The following is a 17,755-nucleotide window of genomic DNA, read 5'->3' as shown; positions in this document are numbered from 1 at the left end:
AGAAAGTGAAACCACAGAGAAGAGGGGAATGACTGTATTTTTTTCCCACTCAACAGTGATTTTGAGATCTATCTATGTAGGTACAAAAGGATCATCTTTTAACTAGTGAATCGTGTTCCATTGTGGAATAGGTCACATTTCAGCTAGCTATTTCCTCCTGGGAATATTTCGCTTTCCATTTTTATTTTACCATCAATATTGTAATGAAAACCCCATACACGTGCTAGTGTTTCTTCAGGGTAGGTACCTAGAATAGGTTCCGAGAAGTGTGATTGCTGGGTCATGGGCTATGCCCATTTTCAGGTTTAATAGATTACAGCAAAGTTGCCATAGGAAGTGACTGTACCAATTTATACTTCCGCTCACAGGTGTGTGGGTCCCTACCCCACACCCTTGTCTACTTTTCTTTGACCACAATTAAGTTTGCTCTTTTGCCGATCTGATGAAAATTACTATTGCATTTAAATTTCCCTGGTTACTAATGAGGGAGAGCTTGCTTCTGTGTATGTGTTGATCATTTGTGTTTCTTCATGTTATCTGCTCAGAGCATTTGCCTGCTTTTTTATTGTGTCATTTGTCCTTTATTGACTTATGATTCCATATCGATTGTGGATCTGGTCCTTTTTCTGTATGAGTTTCGAGGCTCTTTTCTCAGCATGTTACTTGGCTTCCAATCCTAGCCCTGCAGCAGTGATCCCTGCTTACTCTAGGTGTGTCCCAGGACATGGAGCACATAAATAGCAGAGCAAAGACTCACAGCCAGGTCATCAAACATCAAGTTTCATTCTCTTTCTTTGATGTTCTGCTGCCTCCCCGGTGTTCAGTTATAACGTAATCAAGTACCCCCATTTTTCTAAGAGATAGTTTAATTATTTTTTCCTCTCTCTTCTTTTTTCTTTCCTCCTTTCTCCCACTTCTTACTCTGTCCTTTAGAAATGCAATGACAGCCTTTTACCTCCTCTTCACCAGACATTCCTTACAGGGCAAGTTCATCTAACTATGTGCTTAGAAGCTCCAGAGCCCAACTCTCACCCACCAGGAGGTTGCCTCAAGAGATAACAGTTGAGTTACAACCCAAAGTATGCCCGCTGAAGTTTTGAGCCACTTTTACAACTTACTTGCACCCATGAAGACACCAGCTTGACTGCCTGGTAGATAAGGCACTGATGTGGGCATGCAGACCCCATGCCTGCTCACTTCTGCCCCTGCGTCGCACCCCCGCCCCATCTTGGAAGCAGAGAGCACACCCCTCACCAGACACTGAATCTACTCGTAGCTTGATCTCAGACTTCCAGCCTCCACAACTGTAAGCCATACATTTCTGTCATTTATAAATTACCCAGTCTGTGGTATTTTGTTATAACAGCTCAAACGCACAAAGACGGGCATTAAAAGAGTCAGTATTTCCAGAGATGACCTTGGATTCCCCAGGGAAGGAGGAAAAGGCATCAAAGCTCATGTTTTGAGGGGCTCCTGTCTCTCTAGGATCACAAGGATCTGGAAAGTGTCCTCATTATCCAACTCCCATGACCCATTGAAGGTGGCTGCTTCATTCGTTTCCAGGAGTCTCTGGTGGCAGCTCTCGGGGCAGTGGTTCCTAATGTGCACTCTTCCTGCCTCCCCAGGAAGAGGAAGAAAGCCCAATCTCAGGCAGGGCCCCTGAGAGATTTTAGGGGTCTCTCAGAGGCCCTGCATGACAGTGGGCTTTGGTCTCCACAGTCTCAGGTTCCACAAACACCCTTCTCTTCCCAGCCTGGGGATGAAGGAGGGGGGCCTCTCCAAATATGTTCCTCAACAAGTGCTCCCACCTTTTGCTCTGTTCTCCCCCGAGTCCCACCACGCTTCCCACCCCACAAGACAATCAGCACAATGACCCATTAAGAGCCTGGGCTTTGCAAATAAAAGCCCCAAAACTTGTCTTGCGGGTAGCCAATACCTTCTGCTTTGGGTGCTGCCACCCGTTGCTGCCCATTAGGCCCCCTCAATGGCTTTTCCTCCTTGGCTCTGTTCTCAGTCCCCTCTGACAAGATTAGGGCCAAGGCTCCAGCATTCACAGCTCTGGAAACCCTCCATGCCATCTGCCCTCGGCCTCAGCTCTGCTATGTGCCCTTGGTGGGCTCACTGACCTTTCTCAATCTCTAGCCTTCCCCTCTGGAAAGTGAGGTTTCTGGTCTTCACCACCCAGGAGGGGCCACCCTCCCTTGGCGGCCAAATATCTGGAAATGGAAGCCTTGGAACAAGAGCCTGCAGGGTGAACTGCTACTCCTGAGCCCACCATGCTGCTTCTGTGCAGTGGGAGTTTTCTAGGTTAGCCTGACACCTAGGGCCATCAGCGGCCTGGTGTCTGCTCCTGGATCAGACCTTAGTTCTTAGTCCTTCCTCTGACCCCCTCCCTTTCTTGATGTCCCAAGGATGCTGGAGTCTCTACAGTAGCTCCTGGCCTGACTCTCAGCCTCAGAAGAGGGCCAGGTTGGAAGCCTCCCAGCCCTCTCCTGCAGGAAATCCTCCCACTGTCGCCCTCTGCTGTTGGGCCTGGCTGGCTTCAAATCCCCTCACGCTGCAGCCTGACAACGTCTTCAGCCTCATCTCTGTGGTGAAGCTCATATACCAGCCACACCAAACCTTCCCCCATTGTCAAGACATGCCATCTTTCTCCACATCTCCATGTCTTTTTAAGGCTGTTTCCTCTTCCCCAAATATCCTTCCAACCTACTGTGTCTACCTGGCAAGCTCCTACTCACCCTTCAGTACCTCAGTCCCCTTGAGATCCTAAGGTTATGGCTGGGCTTAGTGTTAAAGTGTACTGTGGCTGATTAGTGATGTCTGCCATGGTGGCAGGAGTGGGGAGGGATAATACAGGACGATGGAGTGGTCATCCTTGTACCAAAGCGTGCCCAACCCCAGTTAGTCTCTCTTTCCTCAGTTCTCCAGATCTGTGTGTGGAATCACAGCCCCAGCCACATTGTATTTTACTATTTGCTGATCTATATGTAGACTTTAAGCTCAAGGGCAGAGGTGGTGACATGCTCATGTTTGTACCCCATTGGCACAATAAATCTCAATACATGTTTATAGAAAGAAAGAGAAAGAAATACATAATTTTCCAAAACCTTCGTGAAGTGGGTAATATTTTCCCCAGTTTCTGAAGGGGGAGAGTGAGTCTCGTGGATTAAGCCATGTGTCTAAGCTCCTACAACTTGAGGGTGGTAGGGACAAGATTTGGGTCTGGGCAGCCCTGACGCCAGAGCCTAGACACTTGTGCAGAGTGCCCTATTACTCCTACAGGGCAGCCTTCTGTAGACTTCAGGCCCATGCCATCTCCAGGTTTCTATTCAGATGGCAGACATGATGAATGTGCAGCTGGTCTTGAAAGGCTGTGTGACCCAAGATGAGTCACTTAACCTCTCTGGGCCAGCTTCCACATAGGCAGAGCAGCAGTAACAGTCTTTCATGGCCTTTCTCATAGGGCCTTATATGCTTCACATCAGCTACAGGATGGGAGAGGGCTTTAAAGTCTGCAGAGCTAGATTCCTATGTGAGATTCTAGTTCATAAACACATAGAGCAGAGGCCCCACCAAGCCCATACTCCATTTCCCCTCGGGGGAAGCCACCTCCTCTGTCCTCATCTGTCTGCCTTGGAAAGAAGCAGGCCAGTGGAGCCTAGCCAGTGGAGGCTGGCGAGCAGCCTCCCTCCCCAGCCTCCTTTCCCTCCATTAATGCACAGGTGTTGTCACATTGTGGGAGCAGCCTCAGGTCCCAGACACCCCAGAGGTTTCCACAGTCAGCCTGAATCCCTGGTTATCTAGCAAGTGAGTGAGAAGGGAGAAGGTGCCAAACAGACATGCTCCACCTTGTTAAGGCCAAGAAGGAAGGAAAGATGCTTGAACGAGGCCTGGGGTGCGGGTGGGGTGTATTTGACTGCAGTTATCTGCACCAGGGGCCTTGGATCTGCCTTCTGAAGAGTTGTCTGTTTGTAGGCTGGGCTGACTTATTCCAGAAAGGAGCAAGCAGACATGGCCGCCTGCCCTGGTAGGTGACTGCCCAGCTGGGCAGGGATATGAAGATGCATTCATTTATCTAACAAGGATTTAAGAATAGGCAGTGGGTGCCAGGCTGTGTGTTGGGCACTGGGGACAGACATAGTCTTTGCACATAAACTGCTCCTGGCCCTTTGGCTTAATTCTCAAGGATATTTGAAGAAGGAAGCACCCTCCTGCCCTATCAGCTGCTCTCCATGCTTATAGGCTTAGGGAAAAACTCTGCACTTGGACCTGATTTTAGAGCATGTTTCCCTCACCCAATTACAATCTTGTTTTTATTCTCTGTGCAACCCTGTGAGGAAGGCATAATGGGGGCTAGTCCCCACTTGGTAGTTGTTGGAAACACTGGAGTGCTGGGTTCAAAGAGATCCTGAGGTCATGTCTGGGCTCAGTGTTAAAGCATGCTGTGGTTGATTAGTGATGTCTGCAATGGCAGCAGGAGTGGGGAGGGATAATACAGGTGCAATGGAGTGCTTATCCCTGTACCTCCTCAAAGGCATAGGTTGAGTCTTGTTCACTAATGTACCCACGATGCCTGGCATGGCACCTGGTACAAAGTAGTTGCTCAGTAACTATGCATTATATATAAAAGAACAAAGAACAGTGAGAATGCTGAGACCTAGAAGTGAGGAGTGCAACCTATCCAAGGACACATGGTGAATCCAGGTCTCCTAACTACCCACCCTCTGCTGTCTTGTCAAAGCCCATACTCTCCCCACCCCTGTACTTCCATCTCAGAGCAATGACTCAAAGCCTCCATCATTCATTTGAAACATGCCTTTGAAAACCAAAGTTGCAGGTGGCCCAGGCTATGAAAGAATCTGGCTGGGAGAGAGGGTCATGATGCCATCCCCTTTCAGGGGTGGGTACTGGGATTCCATGTCGGCTCTGCTCTGGGCCAGAGTGAGACAAGAGACCTCAGAGTGGCCTCCCCAGCCCCTGAGCTCAGCATTCAGAAGGACTAGAGAAGGTAATGTCATTCTCCTGGGTGTGCGTGTGGCGGTGGAGGTGGGTGCATGGCTAGGGGAGAGACAGTTCTGGGGGCACCACTGGCCCCTAGGCAGGAAGGAGCCAGATCCTCTCCTTGCACAGATCACCAATCACCAACAAATATCTCAGGTTGCATCCAGGCCCAGATCTGGCCCAAACAATCCCAAAACAGAAAGTTCAAGGATTTCTAATAAGAATCCTTCCCAGCAGCCAAGGGTAGAGCTATTTCCATCCCCCAATATCGTGCTAATGAGCATCTCTTGATAGGATTCTTTACTCTAGTCAAAGTGCTGTCATAACCACACTCTGAGCTCAAAGGGAATCACAGGATGTCAATGCTTGCTTAAAGGGGCCTTAGAGATCCTTGGAAACTGAGGCCCACAGAGGGAAAGTGACTCGCCCAAGGTCACACAGAGGTGGACAGAGCTGGGCTGATTCCCGGCAGAGGCCCTTTGCTCTCTTCACAGAAGTGGCCAGATGACAGTGCTGCAGGATTCAGGCCTCTCCCAGAAGGTGGGAACAACAGGGATGTGTAACCAGAAGGGGAGGAGGTGGGGGAAGAGTCTTGGGCTGGGGCTCCAGGGTACTCAAGCATTTAATCCCAGGGTAATGCATTGATGGCTGCCCCCATCTGCCCTAGGTCCTGTCTATGCCACCCACAAACGATTCCTTATTCATTTATTTATTTTTAAATATTTTAGGGTTTGTTTTCCATTCTTTGTGTTTACAAGGAAAGCTACATAAACAATCCCAGAAAGAGGCCACCAGCTCTGACCAGCTGCTTGGGTTCAAGGTCGAAGTCAATATTTTTGGGAAATGGGTCTCTTCTCCTCCCCTTCCCCTCCCCATCTGGCCTAGTGGAGACCCTGTTGTTTAGCATATCGCCAGGGCAGGAAGAACGGGGCAGGCGCTGAGTGGTGTGCTTTACATGCACTGTGCTTCCTTGTCCCCAGAATAACCCAAGACCCCCGTTTTGCCTATGAGGAAACTCACTTGCTTGAGGCCACATGGCCAGTCACTCAAACCCAGGAAGTTTCAGTCCTTGCTACTGTACTAAAGGGGCCTCCAAAAATGGAGGTGGACTGCAGGCTGTAGGAGGAGACTGTGATGTGGGGGAGGAGTGGGAAGGGCAGGGCAGACGCTTCCTTTTAAGGAAGGGTCTGCCAGCCGGAAACCCCCACACCCCGCCTGCCCATGCTGCTGGGGAATACTGTGCAGTGTGTATATGCATTCAGACAAGCGCACACATGCACACACATGTAAACACACAAATTCCTCATAGGCACCTGCATGTGCTCACTCACACATAAATGGACCCCACTGTAACAATGCGAGAGGTGTCCTGCCAGGCCAAGTCCTCAGGATGCATTCTTCATCTGGAGACTTGAGCTGGGACCAGCTCAGTTGCAGCCCCTGGATGCTGGCCAGGTTTCCTTGAAGCCTCAGCCTGATTCCTCTGCCCCCAGTTTGGTTCTGGGTGGGAAGCGGCACTCATGTTATCAAGGCCAGGAAGTGTCCTGCTTGCCCTTTGCTTTGGCATTGCCTCCCTTTTCCTTCTCATGCTGTCCACTGGCCACGTGCAGGTGAGGAAACGAAAAGTCCACATCCATGCAGTGAGTCCCTGATGGGCCTTGGCCCTACAGAGATGGCTCCTTTCATCATGTCTCCAGACTTTCCTAGCATGAGATCCTCCCTGGCCTCGTTGAGAAGGGTGAACAGAGACTCCCCTGGCAGTGGGGGTGAGATGGGGCCCCTGTGAATGTTTGCTGCATGAAAGAGCGAATGAGTGAATGAATGAATGAATGGGTGAATGATTTTGGAGTGAGTGAATGAGGCAGGAAGGGAGGAGCAAATGAAGGATGAGTAACACACAACCTTCTCCATGGCAAGCAATTCATTCAGTTGAAAACAACAAGACTGCCCTCGTGGAGCTTTCATTTTCACCAAAAAAAAAACACCCTATAATTTTTTTAAAGTGTAAAAACACAAAAAGGGTCCACAAAGGGCCACACTCCACAGTATCTTTGCATCTTTTTGGGAAGATCGCGCTATCTCCTAACTGGCATCTGATCTAGGAGTACACTCACTGTTCTCCTTTAATTTCCATAGCACAACTGAGAGAAGACACGTTCAAATAAGACTGAACTGTAGGCTTGGGGATAACACTAGGAAAGAAACCCAGAGGCTAGCCTGGCCCTTCCTCAGGACTCCCAAGTTCCTGGCATTCACGCCCCTTTCGCTATTCAGGTGCCTATGCAGACATCACTAGATGACCTTGGCACTTTCTCACTGAGCCTAGGATTCTTCTCAGAACTGTGCCCCAGGCAGCTACTGGCAGTCAGTGGGTGCAGACACATGAAATAAAGCCTATTTGCCCTCCCTGGGCTAGAGAATCTGGCCGTGGTGATGTTGCTGATTGCGTCCTCATCTCTGGAAATTCGTGGGGAGGCCTCCCTTCCTGCTCAGCCACAGAGGATCATGCAGGAACCAGGTACAGGCAGGGCTTGGTCAGTGGGTGAAGCAGGAACCCCGTGGTTGTAACCAGAATGCCCAAGGCAGAGAGGACCAGAAGCCTGGCCAAGCTCCTGGCAAGGACTCCCCAGTCCAGGGCCAGCAGCAGGGTTGTGCCTGGGAAGGTTAGAGATCCTCTCAGTCAACACTCTTGTATTCAAGAGCCTCAGAGAGGCCTGGTGACTTGCCCAAAACCACACAGTGAGTGTCTAAACCCAGAAACCTGGACTTTCACAGCCCAGGGCCCAGGCTCACCCATGAGCGGGGCCCAGGAGAGGCCTCCAGGCCTCCTGATCTTGCCCTGCACCCTTCTATCGCTCCCTTCTGCCTTCCTTTCTCTGGCATGTTCAGTGCTGGAAGTGCTGCCTATCTCGCTAGGGCCTCTGGAACTTCATCTGCTGGGGACCCCTTCAGCCTGGCTCCTAGTTTTGGAAACTTACTGTCTTTCCAACAGTTTTGCGGTAGAAGGGGTTAGGAGGTACAGGAAGCTACCTCGTCTTCTCCCAGAGGGGCAGGTCTGGAGCCACCAGGGGCACAGAGGCACACTCTCTCAAGTGCCCCCACCCCGTCTGCTCTGCTCTCCCCTGACCCGAGGATAAAATATCTCCATCCAAGTCTGAAGCCTCTAAAATAATTCTTGGATAGTCCTGGAAGAGCTGGCAAGCCTGCCTTTCTTGGAGCTTGGATGGAGTCGGATCTGGAAAAAGCGGCTCTGGTTTATGAAGTGGGGATGTGGGCAGGCTGGGCACAGGGTGGGCGGGCTGGCACTTGGCTGATGTCGCAGGTGAGTAGTCAGGGACCCGGGGCAGTTAGGGGCTGAATTCATGGTGGGGAGGTCCCTGGGTACCGAGTGGGCTCACCAGCGAGTGGGTGGGTAGGCTGGGGGCTAGATAGGAGTAGGCCTGCTGACTGGGGTGTGGGTGCAGACTAGAGATCGCCAGGAAGGGTGTTTATGTGGGGTAGGCCAGGAGGTTGTAGTGGAGTGGGGTAAGTGTACTGGGTCAGGCTGGGGGTTGGGGAGCACGCTGAGTGCTGGGTAGGCTGGGTATTGGCTGGGTGAGTTGGTGGTGGGATGGGAGGGATGGGAGGCTGGCAGGTTGGGGGTGTGGCTGGTGACCAGCTGTTGAGTGGCAGGGTCGGGCCAGAGAGTCTCCATGCTCCACTCCATCTTCTCTTTGGCACTGGATACCTGGCAGCTGCTGTGTCAAATGCCTGGCTCCTCCGTTGCCTCCTTCGGGACAGACCAGCCTCCAGGCCTCCACTGCTTCCCACCCACCAATTAGCCTGCTCTGTGCTGAGGGAGTGGACCCAGGGCAGGACAGTAGCTATTCAAAGCGGTGGTCAGGGCCCAACCTACTTGAGCCAGGCCAGAGTGACCTCTGGAGGCTTTCTGGAAACCTCTGGCAAGTCCTTTCCCTTCTCACATCGCACAGGCTCAGCTGTTTGGGGAGGATGCAGAGCAGGGGGAAGACTCAGAGTAGGGGGAGGAATCAGCGGGTGGCTTTCCACAGGGAGGGCATAATTGTGAGCCCCACAGAGCTAGGCTGGCTGTGGGTGCCATGGCTCCAGTGGGGGATGCAGGGCTGGGGCCTGGGAGAGGGAGGGCTGGGGAGCAGGGGCGCAGCAGGGGAAGACAGCAAAAGCCTAAAAGGAGCCACTGTGTAGATCCTTTACAAAAGAGCTCTGATGTGAATTGATGCTGGCATGGGCTTTAAAAAAAATTTTTTTTTTTTATGTTTAAGACAGGGCCTTGCTCTGTCACCCAGCTGCAGGGCAGTGGCACTATCATAGTTGACTGCAGCCTGGAACTCCTAGGTGCAATCTTCCTGCCTCTAGCAATCTTCCTGCCTCTGCCTCCCTAGTAGCTAGGAATATGGGCACACAGCACCATGCCCAACTAAGTTTTTATATTTTTTTGTAGAAGACAGGGTCTCGCTATGTTAGCTAGGCTGGTCTTGAACTCCTGGACTGGGCTCAAGTGATCCTCCCTCCTTGGCCTCCCAAAGTGCTGGGATTACAGGTGTGACCCACGGTGCCCAGCTTGGCATGGGCTTTTGTACCATCCAGGAAGAGTATGTGAAGCCAAATAAGGATTCAACAGGATCACAATGCAGCTGTTGAACCATCTGAGTCCAGAGACGGTCTGCATAAGTGCTTAAAAGCAAGGGCTATGGAGCCAGCCTCCTGGTATCCAAACCCCTGGCTGTGTGACCTCAGGCAAAGCTCGTAACATCTCTGTGCCTTGTTTTCCTCATCCATCAAATGGGAATTAATATGATAATACCTACCTTATAGGGTTACGAGGATTAAATGTATTAATATGTGAGAGGTGCTAAGAAGAGTGTTTTGCAAAGGGTAAGTGGTGTATGAATGAGTTATTGTTGTGATGACATTGTTAATATTATGGAGACAGACTGGCCAACCACTTCTCATCACCCAGCCACTTACCTGTGTTTGTCTCCAGAGTGACAGATCATTGTTTTAAAGGGGAGTCCCAGGGACAGCCATGGGCAGCTTTGCTGTTATCAAGTCCTGCCACTGCAGATCCTTGAAAGCAATAGAAGTGCACGAATGAATTTAGGTATTTTAGGCAGCAAGTATTTCCTCAGGCCCTCGTCTGCATCAGGAACAGTGCCTCCATTCCCAATATCTACTTCAAATCAAGGGGCAATGTGGCGGGGAGACAGGAAGAGAATGACGGTGCTTAGTGGAGGGGACTCTTCCTACCTTAGGAGAGGCTGAGGAAGGGAGAAGGCCCTGCCCAGGCCCCTGCAGGCATTCCAGGGAACAGGTGTGGGACCACAGGCCACTGTGGATTGTCTGCAGAGGGAGATGAGATGGCAGTTGAATGGCCTAATCACTGGGCTCTCTCTCCCTGCAAAGGCCTGGTCATCAGCTGTCCGGTCAAGAGTGCCCTCTGTGGAAGGGGCTGGCTGCTGGAGAGGAAGCCCGGGGCATGCCAGTCTGCCTCCCAGGGCCAGGTCTGGGCTAAGGCCAGCTCTCAGGCCACAGCTGCTCTGCTGGCTCGCCCCCCACCCCCACCAGGAACTGTCAAGTTCATAGTCACCCAGTTAGGGGCCAGTTGCTCACTCTCAAGTCCCACTCTGCTTCCAGCCACTTCCTGCTCCTGGTCTTGGCCTCTTTTCTGTTCCTAGCTTGGTCTCAGACACAGCCTGGGTCATAATGAGCCACCTCCAGGGCTTCTCAACAGAGGTGTGTGTGTGTCACGGGGCAGCCAAGTAGGGGAAGGGCCCTCGATGCGTTGTCCCCTCCCTAAAACCAACTGTGGAACCACGGACAAGTGAATTCACCTCTCCAGGCCTCCTTGACCTTGGCTCTAAACTTATGGATGGGCTTCTCTGGTTAGGAGGAGTGGGTTGGAAGAAGATATTAGTAGTGTCTAAAAAAAGTGAAATTGAGATGATTACCGGAACCGCAAAGCCACAACTTTTATCTCCATTACAACCACAAACTCAGCCACCTTCATGGCTGATGCAACAGTCATACACTGCCTCTGCACAGATGTACCCAGTTCTGTGACTTAGCACCAGGAACTCCTAACCTGGAGCCTCTTCTTGGGTCTCAGTTTCAAAGTCTAACTGAATTGGCAAAATTGGAGTGGAAGGAAAAGCAGACTGTGTGTGTGCGTGTGTTCGTGCATGCCTGTGTGTGTGTACATGTTCATGCATGCCTGCGTGTGTGTGCATGCGTTGGTGTATGCCTCTGTGTGTGCTTGCGTGTATTGGTGCATGCCTCTGTGTGTGTGTGCATGTTCACACACGCCTCTGTGTGTACATATGTGTGTGTATGTTGGTGCATGCTTCTGTGTGTGAGTGTGTGTGCATGTGTTGGTGCCTGCCTCTGTGTGTGTGTGTGTGAGTGTGCATGCTGCATGCACTCATGCAGTCGTGTTTGTATTTGGTCTCAAAGGCAGATCCGAGAGCTTTGGATTTATCTGTCTGTCCTGCACCCTTTGTAGCACCCAATTGTTTGCATAATAACAAAGAGACAACAGGAACGCCCATCATTTATTTCACCTTCCCTTTGACTGGGAAGATGAAGGAAGAGAAAAACATGACTTTTTCTTGCAATTTTCCTGAGAAGAAACCCGGGCACAGAGAGATTATGTGAGCTGTCTAAAGTCAGCCAGTGAGTCAGAACTAAATCTAGCCCTGGAAGCCAAATGTCTGGAGTCCCTACTGGGCAGTTCCCAACAGAGGGTGGGGTTCAAAGTTTGCTGTTGGCCCCTCCCTGTAGCTCTCTCTCCTGCTCCTGGGCGTCCCAAGGGCTGTCCTCCCTCTCTGCTTCTCAGGGGGTTCTAGGAAGAGGGGGATTGGCCAGCAAGCTGGGGGCTGCTCCGTGTCCTCTGCAATGAGCTGCCCTGCAGGACCTCACAGAGCGGGAATGTTCCACAGCCCTCAGCCTTCCTGAGAAGGCCAATAGGCCTGACTGGTGACCTGGTCCCTTAAAAGGACAGCTGATATCCCTGGAAGCCAGACCACAGTCCCCAGGGCAGGGCACCCAGGGGATCCTGGATCTTTCCTTCCAGAAAAGGTCACACCCCTGCTACCCAGTGTGCTCTAGAGCAGTGGTCCCCAACCTTTTGGCACCAGGGATCAGTTTCATGTAAGACAATTTTTCCATAGACGGGGTGGGGGGTTGGGGGGTGATGGTTTCCGGATGAAACTGTTCTACCTCAGATCATCAGGCATTAGATTCTCTCTGGGCCTCAGTTGAGAGTCCTCTTCTCCAGAAAACACAGTGCCCAGAAGGAGAGATGAGCCCCAGGCATGAGGGGAGACACCTTCCCTCAACCACATTCTGTGCCTCAGTTTCCCTCTCTGGAAACAGAGCTGCTTTTTCTTGACATTTTCCTGGTGGAGAGGCTGAATGCTCTGGAAATGAATCATGGCAGAGCCTGGAGATCTGTCTCTGTCTCCAACTACACCCCAGCCACACTGCCTTTCAGTTCCTCCAACTCACCAAGCTCTTGCCCACCTCGGGGCTTTGACCATGCTGTTCCTCCTGCCAAAATGCTCTGTTCTTCTTCTCCTAGCTAAGTCCTGCTCATCCCTCAGGTGTCCCCGAGGGAAAAAGTATTGTGGAGAGGCAAAGCCTGGAATGAGCTCCCAGCCCCAACGTGAGATGGGAGGGATGAGGAGGATGGGACAAACAAGAGCAAGAAGGAAGACAGTCTGGGAGGGCAGGTCCTGGGTCCATGGGAAGGAGGCAGCCCAGACGGCAGGGAGAGCACTTGAATCTAGATATCCTGGATCCTCCATGACCACCACCCCAGGCCAGAAGATGACCTTGAGGCCCAGGGCCGGCATCGGGAAGGAGCGGGGCTGTGGCATCTGTCTGTGCCTGTCACACTGTGAACTCTACCTCTGGGCCTTTGTTCAGCCTGTTCCTCCCTGGAATGCCACCACCTTGTCTCTACTTGTAAATCCAGCACATTGCTCAGGGCCAGACCCCGAGTTCCTCTGTCCCCAGTCACCCTGGCACGGCTGCCTCAGGCCAAGGCTGGCTGCCCTAGTCCTGCCTTTCTGTGGGTGGGGACACGATTTCATTCAGCTCCTTATTCCCCCCCGCCCCAACAGGCCCTCTATCCCTCCCCTCTGCCGCCCTCTCCCTGCCAACCCCAGGCCTGGCACAGAGCAGGTGTTTAGTTGATAGTTGCTGACCAGAATGAGAAGGTCATCGCCGCGCAGCTGAGCCAGGCTTGGACTCTGATGCCTCAAGTGGCAGAACCATGCCCATGGCCTGAATGAGCAGACGGGCACAGGTGGGGTCCAGAGAGAGGAGGGCCCTGGTTCTCTCTCCATCCACATCCCTTCCCTAAGTCCCCTCTGGAGGGAGAGAACATCTCTGCAGTCTGCTCTCCTGTCCGCCCCGGCCTGTCTCACCTTGTCTCACTCTCAGTCCTCCTGGGGGACTTCCCTGCCCCTCCCCTCACTCCTGTGGATTTCCTTCTTAACTAGCATTGCAATGCTGTCACTCCCTTGTCCCAAGCGCTCCGCGGTTCCTGATGGCCTCTGTCTGGGGACATTCAGGCCCCAGGTGCGCTGGCCCCACCCACCTCTCTGGCCACACACCTGGGTGGCCTCCTGCGTGCTCTGCCGTCTCTCCCTCAGCTGCACCATGGGTTTGGGAGCCTCCTTCTTCCTGCATGCACTGAAGCTCCCTTTCTCCAACGGAGAAGTCACCCACCCTTGTAGAGTCACTCAATGTCACCCGCTCAGAGAAACCACCTCCCTCAGGGCCTCCAGGCATTTCTATCAAGACACCTGTGTGAGGGGTCCTGGGGTTACGCGTGTGCGTCCCTCTCCCCTGCTCCTCTCAGGAAGGAAACCTCGTCTTCTTCCCCTGTGTCTGCGGCCCTGCCCCAGAGCATGGCTGCTCTAGGCCTCAAAACATGCCTGTGGAGGGGGCGGGCCAGGGCCTGCTCCTCTGGGGGCTCAGAGCTGGGGAAGGTTCCCCACTCCCATTCCTGGCAGGGTGGGGGCTGGCTGGTGAGTGTTCTCACGGGCTGGGTGGCTGATGTCTGGCTGCTCTGGAGAGCCAGCTGGGCTGAAGGAAGGGGAGAGCTCAGAGCCTGGATACCTGCTATGGGTGAGGGGGCACGGAAAGTGAGGCTCCAGGCTCTGAGGACTTCCACAGGATCTGGGGAGAAAGGGTGGGAAGCAGGGGAGGCAGTGGCTAGGCCTGGTCATCATCACAGCCAGAGCCCTGAGTGCAGAGTCTCCCAGTGGCCCTGTAGTTCCAGGCCCCAGAGCTTCCCCACCACACCCCCTCCACCATCACTACCACCACTGGCTCTGGGGGTCCCTGGCTCAGCCTGCAAGGCCCAGGATGGAGGGAGGGAGGGAGGGCACCAGGCAGGGACACCAAGCCCAACTCCTTCTACTGCCTATGTAAACAGATGACTTAAAGGCTTAGGAACAGAAAAATAAATAGCCCTGCTGGCCACAGCTGGCCTCAGCCACAGGGAGCTCACTTTTCCTTCAGGAAGCAGCCTCTGGTCTCAGAAGCCCTGGGAGACTTGGCAGCAGCTGCCCACCGGCCCGGGAGGAGGGCCTGGCTTGCCTTCCTAGTGGATCCTTTCCCCAAGTTCCAAACACAGGAAAAGGGACGCTGCCCAGAAACCCATTTTCTCTATGCAAAATGCCCCCATATGCAAATGTAATATTTGAAAGAAGGGCATGGTGGGGTTGGTCCCAAAAACCACTGGGGGTCACTCATGGGATGGAGCGGGGCTGTTCAGAGGTGACCTGCATGGGCTTCTGTGTGAGCCTGGCACTGCCACCGGCTTGCTGGGTGAGACTGGGCCATGACATCACCTCCCTGTGCTTCAGTGGCCTGGAGAAGGGGGACGGTAATGGTACCTGCCCCACAGGGTTGTTGTCAGGGTTAAATGAGATAATACATGCAAAATGCAGAACAGCACCTGGCATGTGGTGAGTGCTCAACAAGTGGTAGCTATCGTGTGAACGTTACCTGGCTGCCGCCCTGGGGATCTGACTCCCACTTAAGGAGGCCAACCAGCTGGGGGAGTGAAGTCCCCAGGCCACACTCCCACCCCCAGCTTTGTGCCAACACCGCCCTGAATCACTGGCCGCAATCTACCCTGCCCTTTAGCATGAGCCCCGGCCATCCACCCAGATGTCTATTCTCTGCTGACACCCGGCATCAGCTTTGAAAACATCTGCATAGCGCATCTTGGCTCTCTCTGCACAGTCCAGATGTTTGGGCAGCGTGAGGACTTGCCTTTCCGGCCTCCCCCAGGAGTAGGGTGGGGGCGCTCAGCATGTTGGGGCAAACATCTGTGACTGCAGGGAGCCCAGCCTTCACCTTCCCTAAAGCAGGCCTCCCGAGCAGGGGCCCTCTGCGTGGGAAGGGAGCTGAAGACAGTCACCCAGCCTCTGTTCCAGAGGACTGCTGGCTGCAGGCTAGCCCTGGCCCTGGTCCTGCTGGGCACTGCAGAACATGAAAGCCAGCTGACCTTACTGGGAGGCAGGCCAGGGGGACACTCAAGGCTGGTGGGGACAGGGAAGGACATGGGGATCTCTGCAGACCTGAAGCCTGGGGTTGGGCAGTGAGGAGTCCTGGGTCCTAGTCCTGGCTGGCCTAGGCAACTGCTGTGTGACCTTGGACAGGCCACTCTCCCTCTCTCAGCCTCAGTTACTGAATTGGAACAGTAAGGGGGTTGGACTAGATCAGGTTACAAAGTCTATCCAGCGTCAGAACCGCTAGAGAGTCTGCTAGATCTCAGTCCCCCACCTCAGTTGCCATCATCACAGAGATTCTGATTTACCAAGTCTGGGGTGGGACATGATAATTTTTCACAAAGGCCCCTAAGGCATGCCTCAAGGTGTGGGAGCCACTGGCCCAGATGATGTGTAAGAACCTGCTGACCTTCTGGTGGCCTCTGTGTGATGTCCCCTGGCCCTGCTTCTCACAGTCACTCCGGAAGGCTAACGTCAGCCTGCTCTGGCCTTCAGACAAACCCAGGAGTGAGCCGAGAGCTTCAGACACAGTTAGGTTAGGTGGTATCAGCAGGACGTGTGCATGCAAAGGGAGGCACGTGTGTCCGAGTGGCCTTGGGTGTGTGGCAGCTAAGGGGCGTGTGCTTCTCTGCATGGGTGGGGAGTATGAGTGCCTCTGTCTAGGAGTGTGTCTCCTAAAAAGCGACAGTTGCTGAAATGGCCCAGGAAGTCCCTCTTGCCTGTCCTGCCCTCCTGGTGAAGGAGTGGATGCTCATACCTGCCTGGGAGCTGCAGAACCAGGCTCCGGCTGGGAACATACTGCAGTGAGTGGCTGGGAAGGGGGCCCGGGCTGGGCCAAGTGAGGGACAGGGCGACAGCCAGGCCCAGCCACTCAGCTCACCCCTCACTGAGGTCTTGACAAAGCTGAGGCCTGACAGGAGGCAGCAGATCCACGGAGGTGCCCCTCCCACAGGACTTCCAGAACATTTGGGTGGCCTTGAGCCTGGGCAGAAGCCCCAGGACCCTTCAATTCTGCCTATTTCCACTCAGCCCAGGCTTGGAGCCTAAGAGACCCGGTGAACTGGGACAAGAGGGGACAGCCTGGAGCTGAGAATTGGAAGCTCTTCCCTGATCATCCGGCTCCATCACTCTTCTGCCCACTTCCCCCACCGGAGCCTGCTGTACCGGCTCAGGGCTCCGGCCTCTCTGGGCTGCTTGTCCTGGGCCCTGGTTCGCCAGAAGAGGAGCTGCCAGGACAGGGGTGGGCAGAGCAAAGTGTAATGGGGGCTCAGCTGGCTCCTGCGCCCGAGGTGGAGGCCAAGGCAGCCCCAGTGGCTCTGTGGTCTTCTCAGCCATGGAAACTGCCCACCCCAGATGGGGCTGCCTTTAGCCATTTTGGGTGGACCTGTTTGCCCTTTTTTTTCCTAGAAAGAGTGTCTCATCCAGCTACAGATACACACACACATCCCTTTGCTGGGAGGGCCAAGCCCAGGATCTCCTGCTTTTAAGCCCCCATCTCAGCCCCAGGCTGCCTCCTGCTAGGGGTGTCATGAAGCCCCAGCCTGCCAAGGCTCTGAGTCAGGAGGCCAGCTCTCTGCTCCCTGCACAGCCTTGACCTTTCTCGGGGGCCCTGGGCCAAACATGGGCCAGGTTCAATGGTAGGCAGCTCCCAAGATCCTCCATGGAGATTAAGCCAATGAGAAAAACAATGACAATTAGGATCTTATCAAACGTTTTCTGTGTGCCCAGCACTCTTGGAAGCACTTTACATGCAATGACTAATTTGATCTTCACCAGGGCCCTATGAGGTAGGGACTATTCTTATTCCTATTTCACAGGAAGCAACTAGCCCAAGGTCACACAGGGAGTGAGCAGCAGAGACAGGATGCAGAGGCTGCACGTATATGCTGCACTGCTGACTCAGGTTCCTTCCCAACACCTTTCAGTGACTGAGCACTAACAGTGCCCCAGGCTCTGTGCTGGGAGCTTCCCAAGCATTCACTGATTTCACAGAGGTCCTGCCTCTTTAAGAACCAGGACTGGAGGAAGGGGAAGCAGGAAGGGACGAGATGAGTAGCTTGGGAAAAAAGCCACAAGAAAGCTAAGGAGGGAAGCTCAGAGCTTGGCAGCAATGGGTAAACTTTTCCTATATAGGCCAGGTACTAAAATGTTAGGCGGTCTCTTCGATGACTACGCAACTCTTCTCTTGAAGCACGAAGCAGCAATAG

At 53.4% G+C, this 17,755-nt stretch overlaps 3 annotated features.

The window, feature by feature from the left end:
* Positions 6,192-6,796: an enhancer, noted in NCBI's record as "H3K27ac-H3K4me1 hESC enhancer chr10:71498859-71499463 (GRCh37/hg19 assembly coordinates)". NCBI's record gives its function as "activates a minimal SCP1, AML or CMV promoter by ChIP-STARR-seq in naive H9 embryonic stem cells {active_cell/tissue: H9 hESC(naive)}" and the evidence as "EXISTENCE:reporter gene assay evidence [ECO:0000049][PMID:30033119]".
* Positions 13,074-13,728: an enhancer, noted in NCBI's record as "H3K4me1 hESC enhancer chr10:71491927-71492581 (GRCh37/hg19 assembly coordinates)". NCBI's record gives its function as "activates a minimal SCP1, AML or CMV promoter by ChIP-STARR-seq in naive H9 embryonic stem cells {active_cell/tissue: H9 hESC(naive)}" and the evidence as "EXISTENCE:reporter gene assay evidence [ECO:0000049][PMID:30033119]".
* Positions 16,721-17,523: an enhancer, noted in NCBI's record as "H3K27ac-H3K4me1 hESC enhancer chr10:71488132-71488934 (GRCh37/hg19 assembly coordinates)". NCBI's record gives its function as "activates a minimal SCP1, AML or CMV promoter by ChIP-STARR-seq in naive H9 embryonic stem cells {active_cell/tissue: H9 hESC(naive)}" and the evidence as "EXISTENCE:reporter gene assay evidence [ECO:0000049][PMID:30033119]".

Source organism: Homo sapiens, chromosome 10, assembly GCF_000001405.40.
Source record: "Homo sapiens chromosome 10, GRCh38.p14 Primary Assembly".
Taxonomy (NCBI): Eukaryota; Metazoa; Chordata; class Mammalia; order Primates; family Hominidae; genus Homo; species Homo sapiens.
The sequence above is the reverse complement of the archived record's forward strand: the minus strand, read 5'-3'. Positions and strand labels throughout refer to the sequence as shown.